This window comes from Homo sapiens, chromosome 7 (assembly GCF_000001405.40).
Source record: "Homo sapiens chromosome 7, GRCh38.p14 Primary Assembly".
Classification (NCBI taxonomy): Eukaryota; Metazoa; Chordata; class Mammalia; order Primates; family Hominidae; genus Homo; species Homo sapiens.
The window spans coordinates 105,455,704-105,471,210 of NC_000007.14; the positions used below are offsets into that span (position 1 = coordinate 105,455,704).

The 15,507-nt window shown below is 42.5% G+C and overlaps 1 protein-coding gene across 9 annotated transcripts in view, besides 1 other annotated feature; it reads right to left on the reverse strand.

Annotated features, from left to right (window-relative positions):
- Positions 1-797: 797 nt before the first annotated feature.
- Positions 798-15,507, reverse strand: part of PUS7 (pseudouridine synthase 7) — a 65,771-nt gene continuing 51,061 nt past the window's right edge. For 3 of the 9 annotated variants that reach the window (XM_017012367.3, XM_005250462.5, NM_001318163.1), the window contains 6 exons: positions 14,985-15,145; positions 12,634-12,760; positions 9,610-9,711; positions 6,918-7,047; positions 3,465-3,556; positions 798-2,223 (listed from right to left, as the gene is read on the reverse strand). In XM_017012367.3, the coding sequence (XP_016867856.1) occupies positions 2,087-2,223; positions 3,465-3,556; positions 6,918-7,047; positions 9,610-9,711; positions 12,634-12,760; positions 14,985-15,145 (749 nt within the window). In that variant the 3' untranslated portion in view covers positions 798-2,086. Of the gene's footprint in view, positions 2,224-3,464; positions 3,557-6,917; positions 7,048-9,609; positions 9,712-12,633; positions 12,761-14,984; positions 15,146-15,507 lie in introns of those variants that run through there. The other 6 variants (XM_047420533.1, XM_047420532.1, XM_011516336.4 and 3 more) reach the window with 3 other exon arrangements.
- Positions 11,847-12,395: an enhancer, noted in NCBI's record as "H3K27ac-H3K4me1 hESC enhancer chr7:105107997-105108545 (GRCh37/hg19 assembly coordinates)". NCBI's record gives its function as "activates a minimal SCP1, AML or CMV promoter by ChIP-STARR-seq in naive H9 embryonic stem cells {active_cell/tissue: H9 hESC(naive)}" and the evidence as "EXISTENCE:reporter gene assay evidence [ECO:0000049][PMID:30033119]".

Below are 15,507 nucleotides of genomic sequence, written 5' to 3' on the forward strand. Positions count from 1 at the left end.
CACCGTGCCTGACCTAGGACAAAATATTCTTTCAAAACTAGCTAGCAAAAAGGATAATTTACTGGGCTGGGCATGGTGGCTCACGTCTGTAATACCAGCACTTTGGGAGGTAGCAGTGGGCAGATCACTTTAGGCCAGGAGTTTGAGACCAGCCTAGCTAACATGGCGAAACTCCGCATCTACTAAAAATACAAAATTAGCCAGGCCTGGCAGCGGTGCCTGTAATCCCAGCTACTTACGAGGCTGAGGCACAAGAGTCACTTGAACCTGGTAGTGGGAGGTTGCAGAGAGCCAGGATCACGCCACTGCACTCCAGCCTGGGTGACAGAACAACAATGTCTCAAAAAAAAAAAAAAAAAAAAAAAAAAAAAAAATATATATATATATATATATATATATATATAAAATTTACCATGCTATTTCCAATCTTTTTTAAGCCTCAGCAGTGTGGTGGTGATGGATGTCATTAAAACAAAAGGGTTGAAAAACAGTTCCGAATCTCATTTCTACTACCAGATACGAGACAAATGTCATTCACATTCCCATGGTGCAATGCTCCTGGTACGGTAGCTCTTTTCCATTCCTTTCTTTTCTACTCCATAAAGCACATTGGAAGGTGAGTGAGTGATTCCAATAACCTGGAGTCCAGTCCAACACAGTCAATTATTCGTAGCATTTGACTCAGATTATCCTCATACTTCACAGCTGATCACAACACATTTTGGTGTCACCACCATTTCTGATGAGGATCCCACATTCATTTAGTTCCTTACCTTTAGTCAAGGTCAAGATTCTTATCTGCACTCATTTTGATATATTTATTTGATTTATTTACATAACCAGTAGAAAGGAGATTTTAAAAATATTTATTACATTTGTTTCTAGAAATCATAGAAAATAAAAATTGATACAATTTTGATATACAACTTTAGAAAGGCATATTTATCCTTTCACACCAGAGAAGTTTATGCAATGCCAGACATGGAAATACCAAAGCCACTGGTGACAAAGGGTAAACGCTACTGATAGAAGAAAGCCTTGTCCATTTTTATAGTTTTCTTCTCTACCATTATTTATTTTTGAGCAAATACCAGTCCAGTGGAAAGAGTTCTGAACATAAAAGGCACCTAGAGTAAAAATTAGACCTTAACTAATAAAACAGCTGTACACGTTTACATCAAGAAAAAAAAACCCGGCCAGCACAGCTCATGCCTGTAATCCCAGGAGTTAGCCTCGGCAACATGGCCAAACCCCCGTCTCTACAAAAAAATACAAAAATCAGCTAGGCGTGGTGGTGCGCGCCTGTACTCCCAGCTACTTAGGAGGCTGAGGTGGGAGAGTCACTGGAGCCTGGGAGGTCGAGGCTGCAGTGCAAGATTGAGAATTGCAGGATTGCACTGCAATCCAGCCTGTGCTACAGAGTGAGATCCTGTCTCGAAAAAAAAAATAAAAAAATAAAATGGGCCTATCAATGCAACGTTCCTGCAAGGCATTGATAATATAAATGCAAAAGCCACCGCAACCAAAAAGTCTATAATGCTTGCCTGAATCTAGTACATAAGCAGGATAATGACAATCACTTTTTGTTTATAAATTTGTAGATGTCTTATTATTTCAGTCAGCATGAGTACTGTATTTATATTTGTGGGTGGCAGCTCTCAAATTATTTATCCATAGTCCAGATTTGTTTTGTTGCATTTGCTCTTAAAATGCATTGTTGTATACTCCATCACAGATGTGTCAAATACTCCTGCTGTCTTTTGAGAATGTAGCAAAACCTAAACCTGCTACTTTAAACCAAAGTCCTTTTTTTATTATTGTAAAGCTGACATTTTACTCTGATTTAAGCACCTGAAGTGTATTTTGACTAATTTATATTCTGAGCTAAAATTAAGAACCTCAGGATTTGTGTACATGTACAAATATTGCAAATTATTTCTTTAAGCTAATAAAAACTTAAAAATACAAATAATTTTTATTACAAAGATTTGAAATCCATATATGAGTCTGAACTAAGACAAAAATGCACAGGGAGCCAGGAAGCAAACACTTGTGTACGTTTTCTAATCTGTGGACAAGGTACTGCTCAGCGAAGCCAGGTTGTATTCAGCTGCGTCTGGTTCTTGATACTGGTATCCATTTTTAGCACTTCTCGAATGGCCATGGTGGCGTAAGTAGAAGGGGGTAGAGAAAAATCCATTTTCAGAGCCCTGTATTTGCCTTCTGCAAGGCAAGAAAGAAAACAGTCAGAAAATGAAGGCAGCTGCAGACAGACCAGCGAGAGTCACATAATCTCTAAGCAAATACAAAGAACTGTGCTGCTTTCCTTAGACTCCACTTCCTAGGGGGCCTTGGAGAATGAGACCATGGAAGTAAGAGATCTGTGAGTGTGAACCTGCTGAATGGTTACAGAAATTCTGCCCAGGAACTTTCACAAAAAGGCAGATGACAGAAGAACACAAAAGAGAAACGCATGTAAAGTTAAAGAAATAATAATAAATTACGGCCTGGGAAAAAACAGAACAAGAATTTGATGATGAGAATGCCAATTTAATTAATTAATTAATTTTTTTTTGAGACAGAGTCTTGTTATGTTGCCCAGACTGGAGTGCAGTGGTGTAATCTCAGCTCACTGCAGCCTCCACCTCCCGGGTTGAAGCGATTCTCCTGCCTCAGCCTCCTGAGTAGCTGGGATTACAGGTGCCCACCACCACGCCCGCCTAATTTTTTTTTTTGTATTTTCAGTAGAGACGGGGTTTTGTCATGTTGGCCAGGCTGGTCTGGAACTCCTGACCTCAAGTGATCCACTTGTCTCGGTCTCCCAAACTGCTGGGATTACAGGTGTGAGCCACCACGCCCAGCCACCAATTTTTTTTTTTTTTTTTTTGAGATGGAGTCTCGTTTTGTCACCCAGGCTGGAGTGCAGTGGCGTGATCTTGGCTCACTACAAGCTCCGCCTTCTGTGTTCACACCATTCTCCTGCCTCAGCCTCTCCAAGTAGCTGGGACTACAGGAACCCGCCACCACACCCGGCTAATTTTTTGTATTTTTAGTAGAGACGGGGTTTCACCGTGGTCTCGATCTCCTGACCTCGTGATCCGCCCGCCTCGGCCTCCCAAAGTGCTGGGATTACAAGCGTGAGCCACCGCACCTGCCCAACCAATTTAATTTTTTAGACTCTTCCTGAATTTTCACTCACCTTTGGTAAGTCTCTGTGGGGGATGGGGAGAAATACTCCATCACCTAATATCACAACCATCTATAACATGCACTTATTTTCAGGAGGATTTACTGGTTTTAATCACTAACTTTCAGCCATAATTGTGAAAGTAAGGTCATAAAACACAACAATGAAATCATGGGTGGTGGTAGTGCTTGTAAGAGCAGTTTTCAAAAAAAAATTATGTTTTTGTTTAACAAAACATTTCAAAGTCAACACAGAGCTGATGACTGAGTAAACTTACCAGAAGCAAAAACTGGTGGTGTCTTCCCTTCTAGGTTGTCCACATCTGTGTTGAAAAGTGGAATTTTGGGATCATCATATGCAACGACTTCCCTTCAAAACATATGAATAAAGATAAGTGTGAATGTGAACTTTCATAAAAGGTACTAAGCCACTCATCATCATTTATTTAGCAAGAAAAACAAGTAAGTTTACTGTAAATAATTATAGTTAGGAATCTTGAATAATATAGCAGGGCCAGATTTTATACCTAAGTTTTGCTTATATATATAATTTTTTTTTTTTTTTGAGATGGAGTCTCAACTCTGTCACCTAGGCTGGAGTGCAGTGGTGTGATCTTGGCTCACTGCAACCTCTGCCTCCTGGGTTCAATCAATTCTCCTGCCTCAGTCTCACAAGTAGCTGGGACTATAGGTGTCTGCCACCATGCCTGGCTAATTTTTGTATTTTTAGTAGAGATGGGGTTTCACTATGTTGGCCAGGGAGGTCTCAAACTCCTGACCTCAGGTGATCCACCCGCCACAGTCTCCCCAACTGCTGGGATTATAACGTGAGCCACTGTGCCTGAATATAATAGGCTCAATCCAATTATATTCTATTAGTTATTTAAAAATGCACAACTGGGGCCAGGCATGGTGGCTCATGCCTCTAATCCCAACACTTTGGGCGGCCGAGGTGGGATGACTAAGCCCAGGAGTTCAAGACCAGCGTGGGTAACATGGTGAAACCCCATTTCTTCACATTAATAATTAAAATTTTAAAAATGTACAACTGACAAATCTTTTTTTCTTAGACGGAGTCTCGCTCTGTCGCCCAGGCTGGAGTGTAGTGGCGTGATCTTGGCTCACTGCAAGCTCCGCCTCCCGGGTTCACACCATTCTCCTGCCTCAGCCTCCCGAGTAGCTGGGACTACAGGCGCCCGCCACCATGCCCGGCTAATTTTTTGTATTTTTAGTAGAGATGGCGTTTCACCGTGTTAGCCAGGATGGTCTCGATCTCCTGAGCTCGTGATCTGCCCGCCTCGGCCTCCCAAAGTGCTGGGATTACAGGCGTGAGCCACCGTGCCCAGCCGACAATTCTTTTTAAATGAAGTTGAGAGTCAGTAAACTTCACTTTGCACAGCTGTGATCAAATTACTTACGGCATTTACATTTTCTCCAGACTGGGTGCCACAACCAACAACAGCTTGTTACTGAGAAGGAACAGTTCTCTGGAGTGGGGAAGACAAAGTCCAACCATGTGGACCTCTTGCCTATACTCCAGAGAGGAGGAGGTAAGAGAGATGGAGAAGAGAAGGAAATAGGGAATAAAATAATTTCCTGGAAATAGGCAACTAGTTCAGGATTTCATTTTAAAATTATCAAATAAAGCTTTAGATAATACTGAGTATTAAAATTTGTTTTTGAGGCCGGGCGCGGTGGCTCACGCCTGTAATCCCAGCACTTTGGGAGGCCGAGGCGGGCGGATCACGAGGTCAGGAGATCGAGACCATCCTGGCTAACAAGGTGAAACCCCGTCTCTACTAAAAATACAAAAAATTAGCCGGACGTGGTAGCGGGCGCCTGTAGTCCCAGCTACTCGGGAGGCTGAGGCAGGAGAATGGCGCGAACCCGGGAGGCGGAGCTTGCAGTGAGCCGAGATCGCGCCACTGCACTCCAGCCTGGGCGACAGAGCGAGACTCCGTCTCAAAAAAAAAAAAAAAAAAAAAAATTTGTTTTTGAGACAGGGTTTCGTTTTGTCACCCAGGCTGGAGGGCAGTGGCGTGATCACAGCTTACTGCAGCCTCGACCTTCCAGGCTCAAGCAATCCTCCCACATTGGCCTCCCAAACAGCTGGGACTACAGATGTGCACCATCACACCAGGCTAATTTTTGTAATTTTTTGTAGAGATGGTCTTGCTATGTTGCGGAGGCAGGTCTCAAGCTCCTAGGCTCAAGTGATCCTCCCACCTTGGGCTTCCAATAAAGTATTTTTAAACGAACTAACATAAGTATATTTTCCTCTCTAGAAACATGATATTAAAACAACCAGAGCGGTGTTTGGAACTCACAGCTAATTCTAAGTAAGGTAATTTGCTCAGAGATAGCTCTGTAAGCAAATCTAAGTTTTTAGAAATAGGAAAAAAGTTCACTCTACACATTTCTTCAATAATTCAGTGATGCCAATAAAATGTAAATGAACTCACTTCCCATAACTGTTTATATTCAAAACAGCTTCTTTATTTCTTTTCTTTTTTTAGAGACAGGGTCTCACTATATTGCCCAGGCTTGTCTCAAACTCCTGACCTCAAGCAATCCTCCCGCTTCAGCCTCTGGAGTCTCCGGGCTTACTTATGAGACACTGTGCCCGGCTTAGCTTCATTTACTTCTTGATGATTTGAAAAATACAAAGTAGTAGCAGTAGTGGTAACAATAGTAGTAATAACAATAATAACTAACACTTATGAAACACTTAGATGCTAGGTTGTAAGCACTGAAAAAGTACAGTCATGCACTGCTTAACAAGAGGGACATGTTCTAACCCTTGTCAGGCATTTCATCACCGTGTAAACATCACAGAATGTACTTACACAAACACAGATGGTATAGCCTACTACACGCCTTGGTTACAGACTATAGCCTATTGCTCCTAGGCTACAAACCTATACAGCATGTTACTGTACTGAATACTGGAGGCTGCTGTAACACAATGGTTTAAGTACTTGTGCATCTAAACATAGAAAAGGCACAGGCTGGATGTGGTGGCTCATGCCCGTAATCCCAATACTTTGGGAGGCCGAGGTGGGAGGATTGCTTGAGCAGAGGAGCTTGAGGCTGCAGGAAGCCATGATTATGCCACTGCATTCCAGCCTGGGTGACAGAAAGAACCTGCCTCTATTAAGAAAAAAAAAGAAAAGAAAGAAAAGAAAAAGATAGAAAAGGAAAAGAAAAAGAAAAGGAAAAGAAAAGAAGATAAAAGAGAAAAAAGAAAAGAAAAAAGGTAAGGCCAGGTGTGGTGGCTCGTGCCTGTAATCCCAGCGCTTTGGGAGGCCGGGGCAGGAGGATCACCTGAAGTCAGGAGTTTGACACCAGCCTGGCCAATATGGTGAAACCCTGCCTCTACTAAAAATACAAAAATTATCCAGGTGTGGTGGCAGGTGCCTGTAATCCTAGCTACTCTGGAAGCTGAGACAGGAGAATCGCTTGAACCTGGGAGGCAGAAGTTGCAGTGAGCCGAGATCATGCTATTGTGCTCCAGCCTGGGTGACTAGTGAAACTCCGTCTCAAAAAAAAACCAAAAAAAAAACAAAAGGTAAGTAAAAATATGGTGTTATAATCTTATGATACCACCATCATATAAGCAATCTGTCACTGACTGAAAATTCTTGTGCAGTACATGACTCTATATAAAGTGAAGCAAAAGCTTACAACTTATATGGTAATTCAGTTCTATCTCATTCTAGATGATTACTCACCAGCTAACATTCTGAGGACGAATAATGATCTTTCGGTAGGCCCCTGACAAGGAATAATCTCGAATTTTGTGTCTCATGTTGTCAATATCAAGATTGTCAGCTGTGAGCATTTCCCTGTAGGCTTCTTGAACTAATATAAAATACAAAAAGTTAGTTGAAATGCAGCTTGTCAGTCAAGTTATCCTGAACTAGATTATAAAGAGAGTAACAATGTAAGTTCAGTTAGACTGCCCTAATAAAATTAGTCACCTTAATTTATAATCCAAAATCTGTTCCCTGGAATCAAAATTTAGTGACTTAGTAACTAGGACTACAGGGTGTACTGAGCTTTGGTTTGGCCAATTTTTCAGTTATTTTTGCAACCAGTCATAGTACCTGTGGTGTAAGGTTCCCAAGCCAACTACAAAAGGCCATTTCATCCAAAGTTGCTAAACTGCATTTTATATGGGCTGAGAGTTGGAAGACAGCATATACAGAGGCTTCAAACTCTCTCTGGAAGAGGCAGTTATAAATAAATGTATAAAAATAAGAGACCTTGGAAAACCATCTGGCTCACCCGCGCACCTGATGTAGAGTCTTTTTTATAGCACTCAAGAGAGACAGTTTTCCAGCCTTTGCTTGCACAGTCATTAATGGGGAAATACTTCTTTGTGAGGCATGCAATTATTAGAAAGTTCTTCCTATTCCAAGCTGAAATCCATTTTCTTCTAACTTCTGTTGACGCTTTGGAACACAGTGGATTAACTGTCTTCTTCCACATATAGTCATAAGTACTGGATCTTTCAGCCATATCTTCTCTAGACCAAACAATGCTTCCCTTAGCTGTCCCTCCTTTAACATTTCTGTATTTCCCACCAAACCTTTTATCTGCCCCAGGGTAACAGGCTCACATACAACAATAACTCCAGATATTTTAAGCTTTTTATACAAACTACTATCAAACTGGGCCTTTTCTATCGGCATTTGATCACTGGGCATAAATGTGGGAATTTACATTTATTCCTATTAAATACCTTCTGCAGTTCTTTTTTTTTTTTTTAACATCTTACTAAATTATTTATTGCAAACTTGCCCCTCTATTACAACTTTTGCTAGCCTTCTACTCATTCAGTAACTAATATAAGACATTGAATATGAGGTGTCATACATATTTGATAAATTAATGGATGGACAAATGCAAATACATTGAAATTGTGTTTTTAAAATTAATACTGCAATAGAATATTATGCAATTCTTAAATATGTATTTTTCATATAATTAATACTAACTATTTTGCACAATTTGCAAATATAACAAGCAAATTTCTTTGTTCAAGTTACTCATAAAAAATATTGGCTAGAACAGGTCCCTCACCACACACTAAGGACAACAGGGATCCCTCAATCAAGCACTGTCGGGTACCAGGTATGCATGTGTTACATACCCAGAAACCTGAAATATCACCCATCCAGTCTACAAATGGCCATCCTGGCTACAAGGTTTTCATGAATGGCTTTGTCAAAGGCTTTGCTGAGTTTATGTTCTAATTGGTACTGGCAAAGTTCCTGATCCCAAAAGGTTTAAGAGAGAAGAGGAAAATAATGTTTTCTTTCTTATGATAGTTGATTTTGGGTGTCAACTTGACTGGGGTAAGGGAGACCCCAACAGCTAGTAAAACATGATTTATTTTCACTGCTTCAGTAGGCACTGAGCTCAGCCTTCTTCTCAGAGGGAAATCCAGGTGGTTTGGCATTTGATTAGAGTGACCGGACTGTGCCAGCTGTGTCGGTGAGGGTGTTTCTAGAGAAGACTGGCATGTGAGTTGGTGGGCAGAGTGGGGAAGATCTGCCCTCAAGGTGGGCACACACCTCCAGTCGGCTGGGGGCCTGGATGGAACATAAAGGCAGAGGAAGGCTGAATTCTCTCCCTCTCCTTCCCAGAGCCAGATGCCCTTCTTCGCCTGTCTCTGGATGTCAACTCCAGGTTCTCTGGCCTATGGACTCTGGGACTTATACTGGTGGTTCCCCAGGTCTCAAGTCTTTGACCTCCAACTGAGAGTTACATCATTGGCTTCCCTGGTTCTCAGGCCTTCACACTTGGACTAAACCATTCTGCTGGCTTTCCCAGTTCTCCCATTTGCAGATGGCCTGTCGTGGGACTTCTCAACTCCACAATCAAGCAGGCCAATTTCCCTAACAAATCCCCCTCTTCCCTTTTTTTTTTTTTTTTTTTTTCTGAGACAGAGTCTTGCTCTGTCGCTGAGGCTGGAGTGCAGTGGCATGATCTTGGCACACTGCAACCTCTGCCTCCTGGGCTCAAGATATCCTTCCACCTCAGCCTCCCAAGTAGCTGGAACCACAGGTGTGCACTACCAGGCCCAGCTAATTTTTGTATTTTTAGTAGAGACGGGGTTTTGCCAGGTTGCCCAGGCTGGTCTCGAATTCCAGAGCTCAAGCGATCCACCCATCTCAGCCTCCCAAAATGTTGGGATTGATTATAGGCGTGAGCCACCGTGCCTGACCTATTTATTTTATTTTATAATTTCAACTTTTATTTTAGATTCAGAGGTAGAGTTTCTTAATTTAAATTTTCCATGTGAATGCATCCCTTTCTGGGAGACTGTCATAAATAACCAAAGTTTATATATGCTTGAAATAGTAGCTTCATTATGTTAAACTTGTTTTAACTATTTTCCCCATACAGGGAACTTACTTTTATGCTTTGGGTAGATAACATCGAAACCAGGCAAGGGCATTACCACATCATGGATAGAGTAATTATTAACATCATCTTCCTCAATATAGGTGGCTGTGGCTGTAAATTCACAAGTGAACAATAAATTAAGAAAATAGGCAATATTGTTATGAACTCAATCTTCTAAAATTATATACATCTAAGCAAGTCAGAAGTACAAGTTGGTACAGGTTCAGTGACTTAAAAGCTTAAATTATGCCAGGTGCGGTGGCTCACACCTATAATCCCAGCACTTTGGGAGGCCAAGGTGGGTGGATCACCCAAGGTTGGGAGTTCGAGACCAGCCTGACCAACATGGAGAAACCCCGTCTCTACTAAAAATACTAAAATTAGCCAGGCATGGTGGCGCATGCCTGTAATCCCAGCTACTCGGGAGGCTGAGGCAGGAGAATTGCTTGAACCCGGGAGGCGGAGGTTGCGGTGAGCTGAGATCAAGCCATTGCACTCCAGCCTGGGTGACAAGAGTGAAACTCCTCTCAAAATAAAAAAGAAAGAAAAAAAGGAAAAAGAAATTAAGCTGGGGCCAGGAGCAGTGGCTCACGCCTGTAATCCCAGCACTCTGGGATGCTGAGGTGGGTAGACTGCTTGAGCCCAGGAGTTCCAGAGCAGCCTAGACAACATGGCGAAACCCCATCTCTACAAAAAATATAAAAATTAGCTGGGTGTGGTGGCAAACACCTGTAGTCCCACCTACTTGGGAGGCTAAGGCAGGAGGATCACCTGAGCCTGGCAGGTTGAGGCTGCAGTGAGATGTGACTGCACTACTGTGCTCCATCCTGGGTCTTGGAGTGAGACCCTGTCTCAAAGGAAAAAAAAAAAAAAATTAAGTTTGGATATATATCCTTCTGTCTTTTCTACTCTACCCAAGAAATAAAAATCAAGGACTTAGAAAAAGTAAAAGAAATTCTTTTTTTGTTTTTTGAGACAGGGTCTTGCTCTGCCACTAAGGCCAGAGTGCAGTGGTGTGATTAAGGTTCACTGCAGCCTCAACCTCCTGGGCTCAAGTGATCCTCCTGCCTCACCCTCTCGAGAAGCTGGGACTGTAAGTGTGTGCTACTACGCCTGGTTAGTTTTTTAATTTTTTGTAGAGATGGGTCTTTGTTGCCCTGGCTGGTCTTGAACTCCTGGGCTCAAGTGATTCTGCTGCCCTGGCCTCCCAAAGTACTGGGATTACGGGTGTGAGCTACTGCACCAAATCTGAAGTAAAATTTTCAATGAAAATTTAAAAACATTTATCTCTCAGCTGCATCCACATTTTTTTGAATGCCTACTATTTAAAATCAGTTCCTCTATCTTTCTTAAATAAAGTAACACAAGAAAACACTTTGAAAAGCCACCATACTACAAAATCGTATTTGCAGTGGCATCATAAATGGATGCATTTTGCTGGGAAAAAAAAAAAAGTTAAAAAAAAAAACTGGAATGTACTTAAGAGGATGAAACACAGCGGCACCCAGGACATTAAAATACACTGGATGTGACCAACATGGCATGAGGAAAAGAAGCTAAATCAGGAAAAATAATTTAAAATTTCTGAACAGAGTTAGAACCTTAGTGGGTTTATGGGGTCTGCCTGCAGATGAGCAGATCATGTATTCAGCTAATAGATGGTAGCCTAGTATGCCAGAGACACACATGGAGTTTGGAATCAGATAGAACTCTGAATCCCAGTTTTTTCTGTTTTTTTTTTTTTTTTTTTTTTTTTTTTAACTAGCTGTGGAACTTTGGGCAAGTGACTAAACCTCACCTGAAAAAACAGAGAAAATACTTCACAGTAACACTGAGGCTTTAAACTAAAAGACACAGGTACAGGGCTTAGTGCCAAGGCCTGGCACACACAATGGGCTCCATGGAAGATGGGATATTAGGAGTGTCTTGGGAACATTTTGGGCATAGCATATACTAAATGCCCATTCTATTTGAGTTTGAAGAAACTCTTCTTTTTTTTTTTTTTTGAGACAGTCTCCCACTGTCGCCCAGGCTGGAATGCAGTGGTGTGATCTCGGCTCACTGCAAGCTCCGCCTCCCGGGTTCACGCCATTCTCCTGCCTCAGCTTCCTGAGTAGCTGGGACTACAGGCGCCTGCCACCACGCCCGGCTAATTTTTTGTATTTTTAGTAGAGACGGCGTTTCACCGTGTTAGCCAGGATGGTCTCGATCTCCTGACCTCGTGATCTGCCCGCCTTGGCTCCCAAAGTGCTGGGATTACAGGTGTGAGCCACTGCGCCCAGTGACTTGAAGAAACTCTTTAAGGTTGGCTAACAAGACACATCCAGAGGTGTATTTATTTGCTAGACCTAGATCGAAGTTTCGAAAGTGATTTCAGCCATCCATTTAGCCCAAATCCTATTTGAGTTGAGAAAAGGGAGGCCCAGAGAGAGGTGCTTACTCAGGCCGGGCACAGTGGCTCACACTTGTAATCCCAGCACTTTGGGAGGCCAAGGCAGGCGGATCACCCGAGGTGGGGAGTTCGAGATCGAGGTGCTTACTCAAACCAGATATACATTTTTTCTTTAAAAATACAGATACAAACTAGCCAATGTAAGTTTGCATGGTCCCTTCATCTCAAACTTACTAGACATCTCTTTTTTTTTTTGAGATGGCATCTCACTGTGTCACCTAGGCTGGAGTGCAGTGGCACCATCTTGGCTCACTGCAACATCTGCCTCCTGGGTTCAAGCGATTCTTCTGCCTCAGCCTCCTGAGTAGCTGGGATTATAGGCATGCACCACCACACCCAGCTAATTTTTGTATTTTCAGTAGAAACAGGGTTTCTTCATATTGGCCAGGCTGGTCTTGACCTCCTGACCTCAGGTGATCCACCCACCTTGGCCACCCAAAGTGTCAGGATTATGGGCGTGTACCACCGTGCCTCACCACATCTCTCTTTCTTAATTAATAGCCAGGATGGATTTTAAAGCCACTAGTGGCAACTAACTGAACCCTAGCTTAGCTGAGTAACAAAGACATCTGCCTTTTTACCTCCTTTGAGAACGAGGTCCCCTGGAACAGGTTTTAGTCCATAGTCTTCTATCCTCTTGCTTACCATGTTATTCCACACATAGCTTTGGTAGCTATGAATATACATTAAGCGATTATTTCTGGGTATCTGGAGGGAAGGAAAAAAATAGGCAAGAAAACATATTCTAAATATAAAAAGTGCTGTACTTTTTTTTTTTTTGAGATGGGGTCTTGCTCTCTTGCCCAGGCTGGAGTGCAGTGGCACGATCTAGGCTCATTGTAGCCTCCACCTCCCGGGTTCAAGCAATTCTCCCACCTCAGCCTACAGACTAGCTGGGATTACAGGGGTACACCACCACACCTGTCTAATTTTTGTATTTTTAGTAGAGACAGGGTTTCACCATGTTGGCCAGGCTGGTCTCAAACTCCTGACCTCAGGTGATCCGCCCACCTTGGCCTCCCAAAGTGCTGGAATTACAGGCGTGAGCCACCACGCCCAGCCAAAAAGTGCTGTACTTTCTAAGACATTTTGCTTGTTAGTGGTAATCGTAGTAATAAGAAACTTCTACTGTACTTATTTATTTACTTTTATGTATTTATTTTTGAGACAGGTTTTCATTCTGTCACCCAGGCTGGAGTGCAGTGGCATGATCATGGCTCACTGTAGCCTCAAATGCTCAGGCTCAGGTGATTCTCCCACCCCAGCCTCTTGAGTAGCTGTGACTACAGGCGTGCACCACCATGCCAGGCTAGTTCTTTGAATTTTCTTTCTAGAGACAGGGTTTTGCCATGTTGCCCAGGCTGGTCACAAACTCCCAGGTTCAAGCAATCCACCAGCCTCAGCCTCCCAAAGTGCTGGGATTACAGGCCTGAGCCACTGCACCCAGCCAAAACTTCTACTTTAATCTCTCATTTTTTCTTTTTCTTTTTAATCTCTCATTTTTCTTTTTTCCTTCTACTTTAATCTCTCATTTTTTTCTTTTTTATTTTTTTGAGACAAGGTCTCACTCTGTCACCTAGGCTGGAGTGCAATGACACGATCTCAGCTCACTGCAACTTCCGCCTCCCAGGTTCAAGTGATTCTCCCACCTCAGCCTTCTGAGTAGCTGAGGCTATAGGTGCGCACCACCATGTCCAGATAATCGTTTTATTTATTCATTTTGAGACGGAGTCTCACTTTGTTGCCCAGGCTGGAGTGCAATGGTGCCATCCCGGCTGAATGCAACCTCTGCCTCTTGGGTTCAAGCGATTCTCCTGCCTCAGTCTCTCAAGTAGCTGGGATTACAGGCGTCTGCCACCACGCCTGGCTATTTTTTGTATTTTTAGTAGAGACAGGGTTTCACCATGCTGGCCAGGCTGGTCTTGAACTCCAGACCTCAGGAGATCCACCTGCGTTGGCCTCCCAAAGTGTTGGAATTACAGGCGTGAGCCACTGCGCGGGCCTGTTTTGTATTTTTAGTAGAGACAAGGTTTCACCACATTGGCCAGGTTGGTCTCGAACTCCTAGCCTCAAGTGATCTGCCCACCTTGGCCTCCCAAAGTGCTGGGATTACAGGCATGAGCCACCATGCTTGGCCATAATGTTTTAGGAAAAGTTTACAAATTTGTGTGGGGCCACATTCAAAGCTGTCCTGGGCTGCATGTGGCCCGCAGGCTGCAGGTTGGACAAGCCTGCCTTACATCAATGGCACAGTCTTCAAACTTAAGGAATTTACACATCAATTTTCAAGCTAACAGTGCTTTTTTCTCCCATAATTCCACGGTTAAAGAGAGAACCTAAATGATTGAACTGACAACTAATTCCATGCAGCAAGAATTCTGCTTTCTTTGTGCATCTAGGAAAAGTAAGACTTAGGCTTAAGGGTTAAACTTTAACATTTGTTAACTTTAACTTTGTTGCTCAGGCTGGAGTGCATGGAGTCCTGGATTATACATATCCAAATACTGACATAGGCTACTCTTGAATCACCATGATGAAACCAGACTAAAATGCAACTATAGACTGCTTACTGTTCAACCCTTTTACTAAGGCAGTTTACAGTTCTGGTAACGGAATGATCAAGAAATGACTATACAATAGATTCGAAATTTCTCAAATACCAAGAGACTTAATTTACACAGAATTTCCACTGAAGATTATGTTTTCCACATTGACGCTTTTCTTGTGCCCTCAATAAGTAATGCCCGCATCCACCCCCAACATCACCACTCAGGGTCTGAACAAAGACTACTCAGGTGAAACACCTCAGAGATCACCAAAGGATCCTTATTTACCTTCTGCTCTTTCAAAGTTTAGTAAAATCTTTCAAGATGAAATTTAAAAAGCATTAAAACGCCTTGAGCCATTGCCTGACTTCACAAATTGCACTCACTATGCCAAATGCAGAGACTATATTCTTCATTCCATATTTTGAAAGTCCTCGAAGCAGCTGCCCTTCCACACACCTTTTGACAGGTAGTTTTCTGAGGGCAGCAGTTGGGTCTTTGGTCTTTGCCCATTCTTCTCTGCATTTAACCAAGTAGCCCTTTTCAGCTGCGGGGGGAAAAAGCTAGGGTTAAATGACTTACCCAATAGACAGACTTCCATAACTTAAAGTACACTTCACAGAGAACACAAAATTAGAAAATGCTACTTGAAATATAGGTGCTGTTTATAGCTACCACTCATCTGAGGAAGCGCAAAGATGGGAAATGTAGAAAGTTTACAGAACTATTTGGCTTTGTCAACATACAATCACCCTCAGGTCAAAAGTAAAAGCTATTTAACTGTTCATTATAACAGCTGATTCAACATGACAAAAACACGCTAGTACTTTCTTCCTTCTCTCTTTTTCCATTGTAATGTCAAGTTTAACGGGTTACTTTCCTTAAAATTAGATAATTTTATCTTTTTAT